This window comes from Homo sapiens, chromosome 9 (assembly GCF_000001405.40).
Source record: "Homo sapiens chromosome 9, GRCh38.p14 Primary Assembly".
Taxonomy (NCBI): Eukaryota; Metazoa; Chordata; class Mammalia; order Primates; family Hominidae; genus Homo; species Homo sapiens.
Window position 1 is genome coordinate 62424003 of NC_000009.12, and position 23007 is coordinate 62447009.

A 23007-nucleotide genomic window follows, 5' to 3' on the forward strand; every position below is an offset into this window, starting at 1 on the left:
TGCCTTTTATTTTAGGCAAGTTCATCAGCATTTGCTTTTCAGATACTTAATGAATCCTTCAGTCTATTCAGAGAATAAGGCATGTGTTGAAATGATCAGTACACAGTATTAGAAAATGGAAAGTCATGAATATAATAACAGAGACGCCTTTAGGGGCAACGTGAGGTCAAGAGAGGAAGGGACTGCGGCCAGCTTGGCAGGTGAGCCTGGCATAGGACAGGCCTTCCTTGAGATGGTCACAAATACAGTTTTATCAGTTTTCCTTGTGATGGTCACAAATACAGTCTTATCAGTTTTCACAAATAAAACCTTACAAATGTTCACTAATAAAATGCTACAACATATCCTATACCATATGCCAATTTAAGATAGGTTTTACTCCAATGAGTTAGGTTATCTGTAAATAACACATGGTCAAATCCCATATGTCTGTGTAGCAAATACTTTCTCAGTGTCCTGTTGTTTTTAATCCAGCATGTTCCACCAGCCTGGCCTAGGCTAGGGCTGGCACCTAGATAGTCATTAGGGTAAGTGTGTGTTTGTTTTGGGGTGTGGATTTCTTTTGGGGTGTGTGTGTGTGTGTGTGTGTGTCTGTGTGTGTAAGACTCATTGGCTCTACTCCAGGCCCCCTCTATCAAAATTTCTGGAGGTGGGAATCAAGTGTGATACTGATTTGGAAACCACCAATTCAGCTCACAGTTTTCTAGTCCAGTCTGTAACAGCTGCCTTCATGACAAACTGAATGCTGAAAGCTGTGGAAGGTGCCGGTAAACAAAAATAGAGGTGGAGGGAAAGCCATTTCAGACAAAGGGGATAGAGCACTAAACAACATAGGAGTCAGACCGGATTGGTTTTGCAGTGACTTCTGATGGCCTTTGCAAGTGTTCCATAACTGGATTTGCCTGGAATGTGGGGTTCAGGGTCCTTGGAAGAGAGTAGGTAGAAATAAGGTTTTGGAGCGTGTGAAATTAGATTGTGGAGGGCCTCACATGTTGAGCAAAGGACACTAAAGTTTATTTTCTAGGTAATAGGGAGCCAACCAAAATTTTTAAAATGAATGATGACACCAGAGAACTATGGTTCAAGAACTCCACACGTCTGACAGTCGTGTGTAATAATAACTGTTGTGTTATGAGTCCAGAGATGAGAAAGCTTTCTGCATTCATTCAGGAGAGAGGGGGTTGGGTGCTTAAATAGGAATAGGCCACTGGGATGTGTAGGTTGGAATGAATGTGAGAGACAGAAGACGTGAACAGCAGAAGAGAAAGGACAAGGTCAAACGTGGCACTGGGGTTTTAAATACAGGAAATTGGGAGGATGAACCAGCAGACTTAGCAAGATACAGAAGAAAAAAGAGATTTAGGAAAAACGTAGTATGGGTCAGCCAGATTTGGGGATGCCGATGCCATAACCAACTATAACCAATGGAAGATGATTTAACACAGTTGTAAGTATCTTGAAGCCAATGGTCTGTTTAGATGGGAAACAGTCTTTCATTTTCAAATTTAAAACTTTATTCTTAAAATGTGTACATTTAATCCAGAATAATCTATGGATATGTATTGAATAAATGCGTTCATTTTTAAATTTATATTTGATTTGTAGTGTCCCATTTCACTATAGTTTTCTGAAGAAATCTCAGTTCTTTATGCAAACTGTATCATAATAGTCAAGAATTTAAGATTACTTTCGTGTTCAAGGTCCTATCTCCAATTATCCTCTTGCTTAACGTGATTGCCTTTTGACCTACTTTCCATCTTAACATTAACATTATATTTTTTAATTATCCTGAATCAAATTTCGATTTAAGAAACTCCAAAAATAACAAAAATTGGAAACAGCCTATAACATTTTAGGAAATCAAGAAATATATTTAATTGTAACACCCACTTTCATATTCCACAAGAGAAAAATAAAGCAAAGCCTGATCAAGACGTGCCTTTAACACAACTCAATCACCTTTGAGCCTTCATTCTTTACCAGTCTCTCTATTCTCTGTGCCTATTTTCTACTCTCCCTGAGCAGAAATTTAAGTGTCACATTTTGCTAAGGCCTCCATTACATGAGTAATGAGTGCTTACATATATTGATATCCCCTGATTTTCTGTTGGTGAAGTTTCCAGGAACATTCATTCTCTTGGGAGGAGTAGAGACTCAGGTAAAAGTCATGTCTCTTCATCTTCCATCCTTCAGAGATTACTGGTGGCCAGAACACCTATGTGGGAGAGTGGGTATGGGAAGTGGGGTGTGTGGATAAAGAAACTCTGTTCGGGAGAGGCTCTCAGGGATCTGTGAGTCAGAGGAGTCACCTATCTTTAGGGTTGCACAAATCTAGCACCTTCTATGAAAACTGCATTCACCCAGAATGTGAAAAGAAAAAAGGGATGGCTGAGAACTTTTAAAATTCAGCAACAGACACCTGCCCACAAATCAAAGAACCTCAGAGAACACCAGATGCTACTATCCTGTCATAAATTAGGTAGTTATTTTATTAAAATAAAAAGATAGGGCCGGGCGCGGTGGCTCACGCCTGTAATCCCAGCACTTTGGGAGGCTGAGGCGGGTGGATCACAAGGTCAGGAGATCGAGGCCATCCTGGCTAACACGGTGAAACCCTGTCTCTACTAAAAATACAAAAACATTAGCTGGGCGTGGCGGCGGGCGCCTGTAGTCCCAGCTGCTGGGGAGGGTGAGGCAGGAGAATGGCGTGAACCCAGGAGGTGGAGCTTGTAGTGAGCCGAGATCGCGCCACTGCACTCCAGTCTGGGCGACAGAGCGAGACTCTGTATCAAAAAAAAAAAAAAAAAAAAATTGAGCAGATAATAGAGTTCCTATAAACAATCTCCATTTCCCCCCACAGTTCCTCCATTATAAATATCTTGCATTAATGTGGCACATTTATTACAATAGATGAGCCAATATTTATTTATACCATCAATTTATACTAACGTCCCCGCTTTGCTTTGTATAGTTCTATGAGTTCTGACAAATGTATATCGTGTATCCACTATTACAGTATTACGCAGAATAGTTTCACTGATTTAAAAATCCCCTGTGATTCAGCTTTTCATCCTTCTTCTGCTCTCCTCAAGGCCCTTGCAACCACTGATCTTACTGCCTCTAAAGTTTTGCCTTTGCCAGAATGTCATATGGCTGGAATCATACAGTATGTGGCTTTTTCAGACTGGTTTCTTTCACTTAGCAATATGTACTTAAGGTTCCCCTTGTCTTTTTGTGGCTTCACAGCTCAATACCTTTCATTGCTAAATAATATTCCAATGTATACGTGTACCATAGTTTGTTCATCCATTTACCTATTGGATATGTTGGTTGCATCTGGTTTTAGATGATACGAATAAAGCTTCTATAAATAGTCATGTTCAGGATTTTGTATGGACGTAAGTTTTCAATTCAATTGGGCAAATACCTGGGGGCATGACTGCTGGATTATATAGCATGTTTAGTTTTTAAGAAACTGCCAAACTGTCTTCCCATGTGACTGCACCATTTTGCATTCCCACTAGTAATGAAAGAGTTTTGGTTGCTTCGCATCCTTGCCAGCATACAGCACTGTCAGTTTTTTGGAGTTTAGTCATGCTAATAGTTGTATAGAGGTATCTCATTGTTGTTTTAATTTGCAATTCCTTTTTAAATAATTTCAACTTTTATTTTAGATTCAGGGGGTTCATGTGCAGGTCTGTTACCTGGGTATATTGTGTGATACTGAGGTTTGAGGTATGATTGCTCCCATCACTCAGGTACTGCGCATAGTACCTAATGGTTTTTCAACCCTTCCCTCATCTACTCCCCGCCAGTAGTCCCCAGTGTCAGTTGTTGCCATCTTTATGTCCCTAAGTACCCAGTGTTTAGCTCCCAGTTATAAGTGAAAACATGCAGTATTTAGTTTTCTGTTCCTGTGTTAATTTGCTTAGGATAATGGCCTCCGGCTGCATCCATGTTGCAATTCCTTGATGATCTATGTTATTGAGCATATTTTCATCTGCTTATTTGCCCTTTGTGTATCTGTAGTGAGGTGTCCAGATTTTGCCCACTTTTTAACTAGGTTTTTTTTCCTTATTGTTGTGTTTTCAGTGTTTTTTTTGTATATGTTGGATATATTGATATATTTTTTGCATATATGTATATGTCGGTGTATTTTAGTGATGTAAAATGAATGGAATCTATAGCCTTAAACATAATATAAATATATAATGGTTAAGATTTCCCACTCAACAATCCAGGCTTGACAGAAAATCATAAAATGTATTTAAATGTAAATGTTTTTTTCTTTGTTGATACTAGTTCTTAGTTTTAACATGCCGAAGAGGGTATATTTGATCAAGGACAAGATTAAATGTTCTGATTGGCTAACTATCAAACCGCTGCCTCCACTTTTTTTTGCAACTTGAAAATAATATTTAGTTATCATGCTAGCACAGCCATATTAATATATACCCCTTCAAAACTTTAAACATAAAGCTTTAACGGTTTCAGGAAAAAGAAATATTAATGATGCTGAGATTGGTGGACACGGATTCTGTGTAGTGAGACACTAAAAAGTAATTTTTCAAACAGGAAAGTTAAAGCACTTTAAAATCACAAAGCTATTGGTAATTAAAAAAAGAATTAGTATCAATTTCTGAAATACAAGATTAGAGGGACACCTAAAATTCTGAAAGGTCTTACAGAATTTTTTAAAAAAGTAATTGCAATTTAGATCAAAGTTCCCCACTTTTCATTCCAAGTGTGACACAGGTTTAAATAATAAACAGACAAAAAGTTTAGATAAATTCATGAATTATTGAACCAGATGATAAAAAATAGGGAAGCTATTTAGGGCATAGTCTCTAGTGTGTAAGGGTGACATCCTAAATAATAAATTTATGCTATTGTTGACAATATTGTTGACAAGGCTAAATGGTCAATGTGCTTGACATATTGCCTGGTTTTTCATGTTCTATTGCATGAGCTGATTCTCTCTCTCTCTTTTATTTATATTTTTGAACTCTGCCATTATGTTATCATGGACATTATGCCAACAATTTGATGCATCTATGTATATGCTTTAAATCTCTGGGAATAAATTTACTGAGTGCTACTTATGTGAACAAACTTCTCTTAAGCACAAATGGAAATCCACAAAGAAAGACAGCCTCTTCTATTTGTTTTATGTGAGGCAACAGATACACTGTAGACAAAAAGACCAAGTATAATTAACTCATATTGGTAACTAACAATATCTGCATATTACATATTTTTCTATTATGTTTTCTGAGCAACTTCGTGGCTTCTGATTTGGAGGGGTAGGATTTCATAGTTAATACTTTTTTTTTTTTTTTTGGTGAGATAGAGTCTAGCTCTTGTTGTCCAGGCTGGAGTGCAATGGTGAAATCTCAGCTCACTGCAACTTCCGCCTCCCAGGTTCAGATGATTCTCCTGACTCAGCCTCCCGAGTAACTGGGATTACAGACACCCAGCATCATGCCTGGCTAATTTTTGTATTTTTAGTAGAGATGGGGTTTCACCATATTTGCCAGGCTGGTCTTGAACTCCTGACCTCAGGTGATCCGCCCGCGTTGGCCTCCCAAAGTGCTGGGATTACAGGCGTGAGCCACTGCGCCCGGCCCATATTTAACACTTCTATAAATATTTGTGCATATTGAAAGGAACATTACTCCCCACACTGCAACTGAACAAATGAGTGATAATGTTAATTTCCTTATTCTTGAGCTTTTCTTGAATAAAAGAGGGTCGTAGGACATGGAACAAAATAGACTAGAAAATAGGGTTGATAAGGTACTGATTCTGCCAACACTGCTTAATGCTCTCCCCAAGCAATTGTCTTTTAGATATGTTGATTTCCCAGTGTGAATGGTATTTTTTAAATATGTCAAGCAATTAAGAATATAAGTCTATTCTCATCTCAGCTAAACGTAGAATCTTTACAAAGAATTTGTGGTATCCTTAACCCTAATATGTGGAGAGATATGATTAAAAATGTTCACCACCTTATTTTCATTTATTTATTTATTTATTTATTTATTTATTTATTTATTTATTATTTTGAGACAGAGCCTCACTCCACCCAGACTGGAGTGCTGTGGTGTGACCTCGGCTCATTGCAACCTCTGCCTCCCAAGTTCAAGTGATTCTCCTGCCTCAGCCTCTCAAGTAGCTAGAATTATAGGAATTCACCGCCATGCCCAACTAATTTTTCTTTTTTTTTTTTTTTTGGTGAGACAGAGTCTCACTCTGTTGCCTAGGCTAGAGGGCAGTGGCACCGTTTTGGCTCACTGCAGCCTCCGCCTTCTGGGTTCAAGCAATTCTCCTGCCTCAGCCTCCTGAGTAGCTGGGATTACAGGCACCCGCTACCACACCCGGATAATTTTTTGTATTTTTCGCCATGTTGGCCAGGTTAGTATTGAACTCCTGACCTCAAGTGATCTGCCTGACTCGGCCTCCCAAAGTGCTGGGATTACAGATGTGAGCTACCACATCCAGCCATCACCTCTTGTAAAGTGCAATAAAGAAATAGTGGGCAATAGACAGGCAGGGGATAGAGGAAAATGTTTTGGGAGTGGGACAATATGAACTTATTGTCATGACAGGACCAAAAAGGGAAGACGTCTGCCTATCATAATTAATACTAACTCTATCAGTCAACATTTATGTTTTACAATTGTTCTGTAAAAGAAAAGCCAGCAAACATTACAGATTCTAGTCCCTAATAACTGATCAAGAAAGACACTCTAAGCTTGTGCATCAGCATTCTCTTTTTATCTAAAAGAAAATATATTAAATACAGGGAGGAATGGCAGGAGTAAAGAGACTTGAAGGAAAAGAAAATATTGACTTTTTAATGATATTTTACAATGCTAAGATCTTTAGAAACCAACTATTCCATATGTCCTTTAAATATTAGTTTGGTGCAAAGGTAATTACAGTTTTTGTCATAAAAGTAATGGCAAAACTACAATTACTTTTGCACCAACCTAACTGATACATTCATTCCATTTTGGAGGTATTGCAAATATGCTGAATCAATGAATTTCTTCAGTATTTTTCATTGTATTAGTACAAATTTAACCTAATAGTATTCTTCTGCATGTTATTTCCCTTTGTGCTTCCTTTAATGCAATGAAGTTGTAGTTACCAAATAGAGTGCCCTAAAAGGGCAAGGCTTGTCTGTGAATTGAGCCTAGCATAGAATTGGCTCTCAGTGAAGATCTGCTGAACGTTACATGAATGCATCAACGTCATAATCCTTCATGTGCTTGTAAGCAATTAGTAAAATTTTCTCTGGCCTATTCAGGCCTGTGTTCTTCAAAATTCTTCAAAATATATGGACGTGTTTGCTGTTTCTATTAGGTTTTAACTTCTGGTATCAGAAACCAGGGCTGTTTTTCTTAATTTGTGTCCTAAAACTACAGTAGGGTTGTATGCATTGTGATAATGCTTAATAAATATATAAAAAGATTAATATCCATTCATTTACATTTTCTTAATCAAACCCAATTTCTGGAGGAGTAGCTGTGAAACTCTCAACTGGACGAGCTCTGACTAGTGTTAAGTATAGGATATTGGGAAAAGGGCTTCTATATGCAACATATATGTGAGGCAAATGAGAAATATTAGCTGGGCTACATTAAATCCCAATGACATGAATAGAAATTTTATTATCCAGGTAGCAAAAATGAAGTCAAAAAAATAAATAAGAGAATGAAGTAAAGGTATGGGGCAAAACAATTAGCTTTTTCTTTAAGTCAATATTTTAGAAAATAGCTTTTGAAGGCCCAATCACACAGAAAATTGACACTTTGACTTTTCTTTGCACTGTGTTAGACATAGGTAAAAGGATGTCTCAGCACTGTACCTTCATGTAGAAAATGTAATTAATACCAAATTACATAAAAGTACACTAAAATTTTAATTCTTACATCATTTTAATAAATTTCTTGAGATTTTACTTTATTTAGTGTGTCATTAAAACACAGGATTTAAGGAAGATATATATAATAAAGGAAAATGGTAAGTTACCATTCTTGTGTAAACACGTTTTGTAAATACTATTTCAACAAAGATTTAAAAGTTAATTACAAAGGTATAAAGTTATGAAGTATTATATAAACAGGATTCATAATTTTGTTTTAAATGGTCTTTTCATGTATCAAAATACTATCAGTTTAAAACAACCTTTTATTTTAAGGCAGTAGGCTCTGTTTACCATCATTTACAATTGCTTTAATTAGAATTTTCTTCACTTTCAGTATATTCAAGAGCTATTCTGTTGGCCATAATTTTTAAGATAAAGTTTATCCAAATAGAAAAGTAATTATATAATGATTAAGTGCCAGAATGTGTGGGTTCAAATTCCAGTTCTGCTACTTATCAGGTATAAGAATTTGGGCAAATTTCTTAGTTTCTCTGTGCTTCAGTTTCCTGATCTGTAAAACTGGGATAACAAGACTACCTGCCTCAATCTGCGGTTATGAGTAAATGAGTTAATACATAAGAGCAATGCAATAATCCTTGGCATGTGGTATGCGTTCAATAAACATTAGCTATTATTATTATAGTAAATTAGAAATTTAATTCTAGAGAATAAAAAGCTGAACTCAAATATGTAACTATTTATTCGATACAGGCACATTTTCCACAAAATAAAAAACCGTCAGTTTGCACTTGCCTTATATAATGACTATTCTGGTGTTTGTGTGTATCTCTTGTGGGTCGGGGGTCTTGGGCTGAGTAAATAATCACATTAAAAATTTTAAAGACTTCCGATTAAAACAGAAATAAGAACAAATGGCCATTCGTGGATCATTTGCAAAGCTGAACGAATACTTGACATGTCTTTCTGTGATTCCTTGCAGATATCATGGAAATCAGGACAGTGGCAGTTCGGATTGTGGCAATCAAAGGGGTGGAAAGTGAATTCTATCTTGCAATGAACGAGGAAGGAAAACTCTATGCAAAGGTATTGATAATTGATAGCTTAGGCTTAATTTTTAAAACTCATTTTTGTTGAAATATCTCACCATTCTGAAAAGTAAACATGGACTTAATCTATCTCCAACTGTATAATTTAATGATTTTATTAAAACACTTTATACTCAAATGTTAAGAAAAAATGTTTTCTGTGTGACTTTGGACAAATGGCTTGTTCTTTGGATTCTGGTTTCTTCATCTGTAAAATGAGTTGAATTAGCTGACCTCTAAGGAGCCTTCCAGCTCTAACATTCCATGTGCATTTTAGATATTTAAAATCCAAAATTTCCATTTGCCAGTATTAAAGCTCTTTTTGCTAAAGTTCACCCAATTTGCACATTGCTGACATGAAAATTCTTGGGAAAAAATCTTGAAATGTTTAGTTCATTCATCAACATCAATCTCACAATCATGGGCTTTGAACTGTAATTATTCACATTGTTCCCACTTCACTACAATGCAAAATATGTAACAGTTCATCCCACTGTAATAAAATATAATTGGCTTTCCTTTGTATTCCCACAGCTCAGCATAATGCCTGGAACAGGCTAATTATATAATGATACAGGTTTAATTGAATGAACAAATGGTTGCATGGATGAACAAACAAATTAACCTTTTATCTTCCATTACCACTGAAGACAGTGTACAAGTAAATAAAGAAAAGTTGTGAAACAAGTCTCTCACCTGAGGGAGGCAGAGGTTCTGCTAATTCTACCAAATTTCCAGTGGTTAAAGAATGAGTGATGTGGGAAGAGTAATTTGAGGCCTGTTACTTAGGGGGAAATAGGTCCTAATTTTAAAGAATAGTTGACATGAACTTCCAAAAAGCTACACATATTTCACACTAGCTGTGCATTATGTGGTGTCTTTATTTCAAATTTAAGATACCTTTTTATGCAAATATACTACATAAGTCTAGCTAATAAACCACATTAGGCCTGCTCAATCTGAGGGTTAAAAAAAGTTGTGTATGTTTCAATTCTACCAAATATTGCTGCTTACTCTTCGTTTAATTGAGCCTCTCTAAAAATCATTTGGATAATGTTTGTGTGTTTGTTTGTTTGTTTGAACAGAAAGAATGCAATGAAGATTGTAACTTCAAAGAACTAATTCTGGAAAACCATTACAACACATATGCAGCAGCTAAATGGACACACAATGGAGGGGAAATGTTTGTTGCCTTAAATCAAAAGGGGATTCCTGTAAGAGGAAAAAAAACGAAGAAAGAACAAAAAACAGCCCACTTTCTTCCTATGGCAATAACTTAATTGCATATGGTATATAAAGAACCAGTTCCAGTAGGGAGATTTCTTTAAGTGGACTGTTTTCTTTCTTCTCAAAATTTTCTTTCCTTTTATTTTTTAGTAATCAAGAAAGGCTGGAAAACTACTGAAAAACTGATCAAGCTTGACTTGTGCATTTATGTTTGTTTTAAGACACTGCATTAAAGAAAGATTTGAAAAGTATACACAAAAATCAGATTTAGTAACTAAAGGTTGTACAAAATTGTAAAACTGGTTGTACAATCATGATGTTAGTAATAGTAATTTTTTTCTTAAATTAATTTACCCTTAAGAGTATGTTAGATTTGATTATCTGATAATGATTATTTAAATATTCCTATCTGCTTATAAAATGGCTGCTATAATAATAATAATGCAGATGATGTTATATAAGGTGTATCAGACCTACAGGCTGCTGGCAGGATTTGTCAGATAATCAAGCCACACTAACTATAGAAAATGAGCAGCATTTTAAATGCTTTCTAGTGAAAAATTATAATCTACTTAAACTCTAATCAGAAAAAAAGAATATTCTCAAAAAAATCTATTACGAAAGTCAATAAAATAGATAATTTAACAAAAGTACAGGATTAGAACATGCTTATACCTATTAACAAGAACAAAATTTCTAATGCTGCTCAAGTGGAAAGGGTATTGCTAAAAGGATGTTTCCAAAAATCTTGTATATAAGATAGCAACAGTGATTGATGATAATACTGTACTTCATCTTACTTGCCACAAAATAACATTTTATAATTTCTCAAAGTAAAATTGAGAAATCTTTAAGTTTTTTTCAAGTAACATAATCTATCTTTGTATAATTCGTATTTGGGAATATGGCTTTTAATAATGTTCTTCCCACAAATAATCATGCTTTTTTCCTATGGTTACAGCATTAAACTATATTTTAAGTTGTTTTTGAACTTTATTATTTTGTTATTTAAGTTTATTTTATTTATTAAAAAAACCTTAATAAGCTGTATCTGTTTCATATGCTTTTAATTTTAAAGGAATAACAAAACTGTCTGGCTCAACTGCAAGTTTCCCTCCCCTCTGTGACCGAGACTAAGTCTAGCACACAGCACTTGGGCCAGCAAATCCTGGAAGGCAGACAAAAATGAGAACCTGAAGCAATGCTTACAGTAGATGTCTCACACAGAACAATACAAACATGTAAAAAATCTTTCACCACATATTCTTGCCAATTAATTGGATCATATAAGTAAAATCATTACAAATATAAGTATTTACAGGATTTAAAAGTTAGAATATATTTGAATGCATAGGTAGAAAAGTATCATATTTTAAAACTATGTATATTTAAATTTAGTAATTTTCTAATCTCTAGAAATCTCTGCTGTTCAAAAGGTGGCAGCACTGAAAGTTGTTTTCCTGTTAGATGGCAAGAGCACAATGCCCAAAACAGAAGATACAGTTAGGAATAAGGGGCCTTGAATGTCATGAAGGCTTGAGGTCAGCTTACAGATAACAGGATTATTAAAAAGATGAATTTCCACTTCCAAAGTCTTTCATTGGCAGATCTTGGTAGCACTTTATATGTTCACCAATGGGAGGTCAACATTTATCTAATTTAAAAGCTATGCTAACCATTGTGGTTTTAATTTCAAAATATTTGTCATTCAAGTCCCTTTACATAAATAGTATTTGGTAATACATTTATAGATGAGGCTTATATGAAAAGGCTAGGTCAACAAACCAATAGATTCATTTAATTTTCCTGTGGTTGACCTATACGACCAGGATGTAGAAAACTAGAAAGAACTGCCCTTCCTCAGATATACTCTTGGGAGAGAGCATGAATGGTATTCTGAACTATCACCTGATTCAAGGACTTTGTTAGCTAGGTTTTGAGGTCAGGCTTCAGTAACTGTAGTCTTGTGAGCATATTGAGGGCAGAGGAGGACTTAGTTTTTCATATGTGTTTCCTTAGTGCCTAGCAGACTATCTGTTCATAATCAGTTTTCAGTGTGAATTCACTGAATGTTTATAGACAAAAGAAAATACATAATAAAACTAATCTTCATTTTAAAAGGGTAAAACATGACTACACAGAAATTTAAATAGAAATAGTGTATATACATATAAAATACAAGCTATGTTAGGACCAAATCTCTTTGTCTATGGAGTTATACTTCCATCAAATTACATAGCAATGCTGAATTAGGCAAAACCAATATTTAGTGGTAAATCCATTCCTGGTAGTATAAGTCACCTAAAAAAGACTTCCAGAAATATGTACTTTAATTATTAGTTTTTCTCCTATTTTAAAATTTATTATGCAAATTTTAGAAAATAAAATTTGCTCCAGTTACACCCACTTAGAATTCCAGAATCTTAAAACTGTAAGGGGCCTCCATCCCTCTTACTCATTTGTAGTCTAGGAAATCGAGATTTTGATACACCTAAGGTCAAGCAGCTGAGTAGATATACAACTGTCACAAGAGTCTAGATCAGTTGGCACATGCTTTCTATACTAGATTATTAGTATTATTAGCTAATGGTCTTCTGCATTTTTTTGTTTTTTTATTTCTATTGAGATATAGCCTTTACATTTGTACACAAATGTGACTATGTCTTGGCAATGCACTTCATACACAATGACTAATCTATACTGTGATGATTTGACTCAAAAGGAGAAAAGAAATTATGTAGTTTTCAATTCTGATTCCTATTCACCTTTTGTTTATGAATGGAAAGCTTTGTGCAAAATATACATATAAGCAGAGTAAGCCTTTTAAAAATGTTCTTTGAAAGATAAAATTAAATACATGAGTTTCTAACAATTAGAAAGGAAAAAATTAAAATATGAAATGATAACAAAAGTAAACAAAAGATACTTTCAAAGCAGTGAACAAAACATTTTGACATAAGCCATAATATAAATTATAATATAAAAATATAAAAACCATAGTATAAATTGTCAATCTTTGAGTTGGCTATGAATTCAATTTAATGACAGAAGAGAAGGGATGCTGGAGGTAAATTCTTAGAGTTTCTATCTCATAGAGTTTGCTCTTCTGATTCTCTAGACTGCCAAAGAACATAAAGATGTACAAGGGGACCTAGCTGTAGTAAAAGCATTGCTATAACAACAAAAACTCTAAAACAGTGCCCCTCACGATTTTCTACTGAAATTTCTCTAACAGTAGAGGTATAAAACAAGAAGTTAGAGAATAATGCAGAAGGGGCCCACCACAGAAATCACATTTCTTTTCTGTTAAGACTCATGTGATTTTTGCATCTTACTCCATAATGTATTAGTGGTTGCGTTAATATGACAATGTCTGCAATTAAACACCAGTAAGCAAAATCGATACATCAGAATGACTTGCAGGGCTTATCATGCAGTTTCATTTACATCCCTATCCCACTGCCATTTACTTGAGCGTGAATGACACACGGGAGATTCTTTGCCTTCCATGATCCAACTTTACACATAAATAACACAAGGCTAAAGAAAACCAGAACTCAAATTCACCATGCATAGGAGTGATAACAAAAATATTTAACAGTCAGTATGGGTGATTACTGGCCAATCAGAATACGTCACTGATATATCAAAATGGATGCAGGCCACTGTGACTAACTTGTGGGTATCATTTCTATGATCACCCTAAAACAGAGTTGGGAAAATATCAATTAACTGGTCTCTCTGGTTTGAATTCTCAATATGTATCTTAATATGAAATAGCTCATTAAAACTTCATGTGTAACTATTTCAGCATTGTTGTCAGCTACTCTTTATTCCACTTCTGTACAGTATTTATTCAACCAAGCTGCTGCTTTCAATGAAGGTCACTTGTTCCTTCAGGGACACATGTACTCCCACCTATCCTTTAATTTTGAATGGTTTGTCAAGAAAATTTACTTTCTCTTGAGTTGAAAAGACTTGACAGGAAGCAAGAAATAATACGGTCCTAGCCTCTTTCCAGTAACATCTGATTTCTCCATTCTCAAACTACACTTCTCAGGGAACCAGATATTTACTCTCGTCTGGGAAGATGCCTCTTATGTTTTCCTTTTACTTCCTGGTTATCATGTGGTTGCATTTTCCAAGTTCTTATCATTGAATTTATGAGAGCCTATCCAAATTTATTTTCTTTTATTTTCTAATAATTGAAATGTGAGATGAAAATAACATTTCACTTATGAAAAACGCTTCTCTTGATGAATCCTTCCATGTGTTAGTTATCTATTGCTCTGTAACAAAGGTGTTAGTTATCTATTGCTGTGTAACAAATTAAAACTTAATGGCTTGAAACAAATATTTGTTTTCTCATAGTTTATGTGGCTCAGGAGCCTGGACGTGGTTCAGCACAGTGTTTTTGGTCAGAATTCCTCATGAGGCTGCAATCAAGGTGTAGACCAGGGCTGTTAGTCATCTATCTCAATATTCAACTCAGAAAGGGATCCACCTTAGATCCTCACTGGCTCTTATCAGGACCTATCACTTCCTTACCACATGGACCTCTCCATAGCATTGCTTACAACATTACAGTCTGTTTCCCACGGAGCAAGAAATCAGAGAGTGTGAGATAAAGTACCCAAAATGGAAGCCACAGGTTTGTTTGTTTGTTTTAATATATATAACCTAGTTTCAAAAGTGATGTTACCTCTGCCTACACTCATGAGGAGGGTATTATACAAGGGCATACATACCAGAAAGCAGGGATCACTGGAAGTCATTTTACAGGCTGCCTAATCCAAGTCATGAACTAGATGTTTTTAATGTCACTGCCATAAACTGGGATCCTACAGGGTCTAATGAGAGTAATTAATTCATGGCTTTCAGTGGGGATCCATTCAGCAGAGAAAGAGATGAAATATGTGTATTCTCTGTGGAAACACTCTTGATTCTTCCTTGAGGGATACTGCGTGGTCCATTCCTACACAGGATAATTAAGAAAAGGTTTGAACCAATCTGGACTTCCTATTAGCCTGAGATGTGGCTACTTAGAACTCCCAATGTAGCTGGAAAACTAACAATATCCCTTTGCCTCCACATGAAGCAAATTACCCTGCCATCAGACTCAACATGAAGATAATCCTCCCTTCAGCTGCTCTACCTCAAGAGAAAAAGATCATAGATGCCAGCTGGAATTCCTCTGGGCCATAGAGTGTTTTATTCTAGATGCTGAAGGCAATCAGCCACCATTTACCCAAGACCATCTGAGAATAAGACCTAAAAAGACTTGAAAACAATTGATTTCAATGGTAGGTACACACTGGTATCCCCTGTTCTGTATATATCTACAGATACTTAGATATATACAAAACAGGATATATATATATATATAGAGAGAGAGAGAGAGAGAGAGAGAAACAGAGAGAGAGAGAGAGAGAGAGAGACCTAGGCCCCAACTCAAGCCAATTACATCAGTGTATATGACAGGTGGCCCATGCAGTCGTATTTTAAAAATTCCCCAGAATATTCTAATGTGCCTCTGCAGTTGAGAACTAATTAGGTAAATGCAAACAACAACAAAGACCAAAAAATGTCTTCAGAAACTATGCCTGCTTCTTCATCTTTGTCTCTTCTTTAAACACCTTGAAAGGCCTTATTCCCTCCCAGCCCCTCCTGCCCCTAGGTTTTCCTAGATGCCTCCGTATTTTCTGCTATGCACAACTGGAGCTCACAGGAAATGTAGGCACTAGAAGGAGAGTTACAATTGTTTTTGCATCAGAATGATTATGGAATAGAAAAAGGCATTTCATGCAAATGGACACCAAAAGCGAGCAGCGGTAGCTATTCTCATATGAGACAAAACAAACTTTAAAGCAACAGTAGCTAAAGTAGACAAGGACAGACAGTATATAATGGTAAAGGTCTCATCCAACAGAAAAATATGACAATCCTAAACATACATGAACCTAACACCGGAGCTCACAAATTTATAAAACAATTACTAGTAGACATAAGAAATGAGATAGACAGCAACACGATAATAGTGGGGGACTTCAATACTCCACTGACAGCACTAGACAGGTCATCAAGAGAGAAAGTCAACAAAGAAACACTGGATTTAAACTATACTTTGGAACAAATGGACTTAACAGATACATACAGAACATTTCATCCAACAACCACAGAATACACATTCTATTCAACAGCACATGGAATTTTCTCCAAGATAGACCACATGATAGGTCATAAAATGAGTCTCAGTAAATTGAAGAAAATTGAAATTGTATCATGCACTCTCTCAGATCACAGTGGAATAAAACTGAAAATCAACTCCAAAAGGAATCTTCAAAACCATGCAAATACATGGAATTTAAATAACCTGCTCCTGAATGAGCATTGGGTGAAAAACAAAATCAAGATGGAAATGTAAAAAATTTCTTCAAACTGGATGACACAACCTATCAAGACCTCTGGGAAACAGCAAAGGCAATGCTAAGGGGAAAGTTTGTAGCCCTAAACACCGACGTCAAAAAGTCTGAAAGAGCACAAACAGACAATCTAAGTTCACATCTCAGGGAACTAGAGAAACAGGAACAAGCCAAACCCAATCCCAGCAAACAAAGGAAATAACCAAGATCAGAGCAGAACTAAATGAAATTGACACAACAACAACAACAAAAAATACAAAACATAAAAGAAAAAGTTGGTTATTTGAAAAGATAAATAAAATTCATAGACCATTAGCAAGATTAACCAAGAAGAGAGAAAATCCAAATAACCTCACTAAGAAATGAAACAGGGGATATTACAACTGACACCACTGAAATATTAAAGGTTATTCAAGGGTACTATGAACACCTTTTGGCACATAAACTAGAAAACCTAGAAGAGTTGGATAAATTCCTGGAAAAATACAACCCTCCTAGCTTAAATCAGGAAGAATTAGATACCCCAAGCAGACCAATAAAGCAAGCAGCAAGATTGAAATGGTAATTTTAAAATTGCCAACAAAAAAAGCCGAAGACCAGACAGATTCACAGCAGAACTCTACCAGACTTCAAAGAATGTCTTCCTTCATTCAAAGAAGAAATGATACCAATCCTTTCACACTATTCCACAAGACAGAGAAAGAAGAAACCCTCCCTGATTCATTCTATGAAGCCAGCATCACCCTAATACCAAAACCATGAAAGGACATAACCAAAAAAGAAAACTACAGACCAATATCCTTGATGAACACAGATGCCAAAATCCTTAACAAAATACTATCTAACTGAATCTGACAACATATCAAAAAGATAATCCAACATGATCAAGTGGGTTTCATACCAGTGATACAGGAATGGTTTAACATATGCAAATCAATAAATGTGATACACCAAATAAACAGAATTTAAAAAACTCACACGATTATATCAACAGATGCAGAAAAAGCATTTGACAAAATCTAGCATTGCTTTATGATTAAAGCTCTCAGCAAAATAGGCATACAAGGGACATACCTTAATGTAATAAAAGCCATCTATGACAAACCCACAGCCAACATAACACTGAATGGGGAAAAGGTGAAAGCATTCCCTTTGAGAACTGAAACAAGACGAGGAGCCTACTCTCACTACTCCTCTTCAACAAAGTACTGGAAGTCCTAGCCAGAGCAATCAGACAAAAGAAGGAAATAGAGGAAATCCAAATCGGTAAAGAGGAAGTCAGACTGTCACTGGTTGCTGACGATATGATCTTTCGCCTTGAAAACCCTACGGACTCCTCTAGAAAGCTCCTAGAACTGATAAAAGAATTCAGCAAAGTTTCCAGATACAAGATTAACAGACACAAGGCAGCAGCTCTTCTATACATCAACAGCTACCAAGCAGAGAATCACATCAAGAACTCAACCCCTTTTACAATAGCTGCAACAAACAAACAAACAAACAAAAAACAAAACTTAGGAATATACCTAGCAAAGGAATCAAAAGACCTCTACAATGAAAATTACAAAACACTGCTGAAAGAAATCATGGATGGAGCCAAGCACGGTGGCGCATGCCTATAATCCCAGCTACTCGGGAAGCTGAGACAGGAGAATCGCTTGAACCTGGGAGGCAGAAGTTGTAGTGAGCCGAGATCACACCATTGCACTCCCACCTCAGCGACAAGACTGAAACTCCCTCTGGAAAAAAAAAAAAAACACAAGAAAGAAAAGAAATCATAGACGATACAAACAAATGGAAATGCATCCCCATGCTCATGGATGGGTAGAACCAATATTGTGAAATTTACCATTCTGTTAAAAGCAATCTACAAATTCAATGCAATCCCCATCTGAATACCACCGTCATTCTTCACAGAATTACAAAAACAATTCTAAAATTAATATGGAACCAAAAGAGAGCCATGTAGCCAAACCAAGGCTAAGCAAAAAGAACAAACCTGGAGGCATCACACTACTTGATTTCAAACTGTACAATAAGGCCATAGTTACCAAAACAGCATGGTACTGGTTTAAAAATAGGAACATAGACCAATGGAACAGAAGAGAGAACCCAGAAATTAACCCAAATACTTACAGCCAACTGATCTTCGACAAAGTACACAAAAACATAAAGTGGGGAAAGGACACCTTTTCAACACATGATGATGTTGGGATAATTGGCGAGCCACATGTAGGGGAATAAAACTGGATTCTCATCTCTCACCTTATACAAAAATCTACTCAAGATGGATTAAGAACTTAAACCTAATTCCTGAACTATAAAAATTCTAGAAGTTAACACTGGATAAACCCTTCTAGACATTGGCATAGGCAAGGATTTCATGACCAAGAAGCCAAATGCAAATGCAATAAAAACAAAGATAAATAGCTGGGACTTAATTAAACTAAAGAGCTTTAGCATGGCAAAGGGAACAGTCAGCAGAGTAAATAGACAACCCACAGAGTGGGACCCCTGACCCTGACCCTGATCCCTGACCCTGACCCCTAACCCTGACCCCAACCCCTGATCCTAACCCTAACCTGTAACCCTAACCCCTAACCACAACCCTCACCCTAACCCAACCCTAACCCCTAATCCCAAACCACTAACCTCTCTTAACCCCTAACTCTAAACGTTGACTCCTAACCCCTAACTCTGACCCCAGCCCTTATTTCCAACCCCTAACCCTAAACTTAACCCCTAACCCCTAACCCTAACACCAACTTAACCCTAGGTTCGTTACTACGTTTGTATTGACTATGTCAATGTTGATTATTATGATCGCTGTCTTAGGACTGCAGGGCAGCGAGGGGATTGCGGATCTTATATTAATATTTTTGTATTGAGGCAGTGCATTAGCATTACAGGTGCTTGTTACATGAGCAATGGGGGTGTCATACTTTGGGTGTCATGTCTGCATTAGGAATGCCGCATTTGTCTTCCGAGGCTGCGGTGTGAATCTTGCACTGTGGCCGCCTCGCCTTGGCTGGGGAGAACCTCGGTGGGCAGGATTCAGAGGGGCTTTTGGTTTCCCGTTTTCCACACTGAACCCTTCTAACTGGTCTCTGACCCTGATTATTCAGGGCTGCAAACAGGAAGGATTTTATTCACCGTGGATGCAGCCCGGAGTTGTCCCAAAGCGAGGCAGTGCCCCCAAGGTCTGTGCTGAGGAGAACGCGGCTCTGCCTTCGCAGTGTCCCCCGGGCCTGTGCTGAGCAGAACGCCGCTCCGCCCTCGTGGAGACCCTGGCCCGCCCGGGTCTGTGCTGAGGAGAACACTGCTCCGCCACTGACCTCCAGCCTGGGCGACAGAGCGAGACTCCATCTCAAAAAAAAAAAAAAAACGATAACAACAAAAAATAAAAAAAAAACCCATAATAGTAGTGATAAGGCCGGGTATACAGATAAGGTACACAGATAAGAAAGGAAGTGATAGCGGGGCGCAGTGGCTCACGCCTGTAATCCCAGCACTTTGGGAGGCCGAAGCGGGCAGATCACGAGGTCAGGAGTTTGAGACCAGCCTGGCCAACACGGTGAAACCCCGTCTCTACTAAAAATACAAACATTAGCTGGGCGTGGTGGCGGGCGCCTGTAGTCTTCTCAGACACCCGACCACCGGCTCCTGAGCCGCGGCAACTCCCTGTCACCTTTTCACTGCCCCCAACCCAGCCCCAAATCCCCAATCCAGCCCCAAATCCCCGATCCATCTCCAAATCCCCGATCCAACCCCCAATCCGCGATCCAATCCCCAATCCGTGATCCCAAATCTGCGATCTAGCCCAGAATCCGCAATCCAGCCGGGTCCACCACAGCCTTCAGCAGCGACACTCGCAGCCTCTGACCTCTCAGACCCAGTGAGCCTCGCAAGGCCATTAGCAGCGCGCCTGCACCGCGGGGGCCGCCCGGCTCCCAGAAGCCGCTCCCAGCCGGTGCGCCGGCAAGCAGGGCTCCAGCCCAGGGCAGGCGCCGCTGGGCTCGCGGGTTCTCCTGAGCTGGTCCGGGCTGCCCCAGGACCACAGGGGCAGGATTGCAGGCGTGCAGCCTGCCCGGCCTCAGGAGGAGGGCCTGTCTGGCCGTGCGGCCCCACTTAATCTTAATAGCAAATAAAACTCAACAGTATGCTGTGGCATATTCTACAGTGATTCTACACAATTGTAGATTGCATTAGAATAATGTTTTTCTAAATTATTTTCTTGGTAACAAATGGACACTCGAAATTTTATTTATTTTAATTTCAATTTTTTTAAAAACAGAGTTTCACTCTTGTTGCCCAGGCTGGAGTGCAATGGCGCGATCTCGGCTCACTGCAACCTCCGTCTCCCAGGTACAAGTGATTTCTCCTGTCTCAGCCTCCCAAGTAGCTCCAATTACAGGCATGCGCCACCACAGCCGGCTATTTGTGTGTGTGTGTGTGTGTGTGTGTTTAGTAGAGATGGGGTTTCATCATGTTAGCCTGGTCGCAAACTCCTGACCTCAGGTGATCCACCTGCCTTGGCCTCCCAAAATGCTGGGATTACAGGAGTAAGCCACTGTGCCTGGGCAAAATTTTATTTTTTAATAATGCCAAGTGATTTCATTTTAAATTAAACTGCACCATAAATTGGATTATTTTCCTGCATGAGTACCTTGCTCTTCAAACAAAAACATTTTTTAAAGACCAAATATATTGCATACTTTTTTTAAAAAAAGCTCTGCCTGTGTGCATTGGCTTACGCCTGTAATCCCAACACTTTGTGGAGGCTGAGGGAGGAGGACTGTTTGAACCCAGGAGTTTGAGACTGGCCTGGGCAACACAGTGAGACACTGGCTCTACAATAATCTTTCTTTAAAAGTTAGCCAGGTATGGTGGTGCACAGCCATGGTCCCAGACACTTGGGAGGTTGAGGTGGGAAGATAGCTTGATCTTGGGAAGCTGAGGCTGCAGTGAGCTATGATTGCACTCCAGCCTGGGTGACAGAGCAAGAACCTGTCTCAAAAAAATGTTCTTACTGTATAAGAAATTATGAATGACATTTATTTTATGTTAAAACAGTATATTTTATCTACAAAAGGAGTAAAAGACAGTAATAGAAAAATTGGCACATAAAGGAACACAAATGCTAAAAAAATTCAAATTTACCAATAATCCTATCACGTAAATTGATAATTTTTAATATAATTAAATGTAGGATTTTAAAATAAATTTCTTTTAATTTATTTATTTAAACATATAGATTATTTTTAGACCCTCTTCAGGCATCCCCTGTTGAATAAATTCCATGATTTACAGGCCTACTCTCTCTATTGTTAAATATTGTATTGCTTTCAATGAACAATATTTTTTATAAACATTTCACAGAAACAAATCTGGGCACATTGAGACATGTTTTCTTTTCAAAAAGTCCTAGCACTTTAATTACTGTGTAAAGAGATATTAGTATATAATTTTCACACTTATTGACTAACATCCCTGCAAAATGTTGAATCAATTTATACTTTCAGCACCAATCGGCAAATTAATGTCCATTATGCTTTTGCTTCACCAAAACTGATACTTATATTTTATTTTGCTAGACAAAAATACATATTATCTTAATTTGCATAACTGTAATTAATAGAAAGGTTAAATTTTTTTCAGATGTATCATAGGTCATCACTTTTTCTTGAGTCTGGTGGGTGCTTAGTTCCTTTAAAGCATTAATCATGTATACATTAATTTTATGTGCAAAACAATCATTAAGTACAATTTGAAATATGGAAAAATAAATAGCTGGATTAAGAAAAAAACAAATAGAGCTTCTGGAATTAAAACATTCACTAATGGAATTTCAAAACACAGTTGGAATCTTTAACAATAAACTAGACTAAGCAGAAGAAATAATTTTAGATTTTGAAAACTGGTCTTTCAAAGTAACCCAGTCAGACAAAAATAAAAGAAAAAAGAACTGAAAAACAAAGCCCTTAAGAAATATGAGATTATGTAAAGTGACCAAACTTATAACTTATTGGCATTACTACAACAGAAGAATAAAAAGCAACCAACTAGGAAAGTATATTTAAGGGAATAATTTAGGAAAATTTCGCTAGTCTTGCTAGAAAGGTTGATATTCAGATATAAGAAATTCAGAGAACACCTGTGGCATAGTAAACAAGATGCCCATTCCTAAGGCATCCACAGTCATTAGAATAGCCGTGGTCAATGCAAAAGAAAATATATTAAAGGCAGCTCAAAGAAAGGGCCAAATTACCTATGAAGTAAATTAGATTAACAACAGACTTATCAGCAGAAACCCTGCAACCTAGAAAAGATTGGGGCCTAGTGTTAGCCTTCTTAAAGAAAAAAAAAATGCCATCCAATA

General features: G+C 37.2%; 1 long non-coding RNA gene and 1 pseudogene across 3 annotated transcripts in view; both read left to right on the top strand.

Moving 5' to 3' along the window:
• The window catches only part of FGF7P6 (fibroblast growth factor 7 pseudogene 6), a 59264-nt pseudogene extending 47747 nt beyond the window's left edge, over positions 1-11517 (top strand). For both annotated transcript variants that reach the window (NR_047527.1, NR_003674.2), the window contains 2 exons: positions 8874-8977; positions 10065-11517. The product of NR_047527.1 is annotated as a fibroblast growth factor 7 pseudogene 6, transcript variant 1 (transcript). The remainder of the gene's footprint in view (positions 1-8873; positions 8978-10064) is intronic.
• Positions 1-23007, top strand: part of LOC128966771 (uncharacterized protein FLJ76381) — a 98522-nt gene that overhangs the window by 47671 nt on the left and 27844 nt on the right.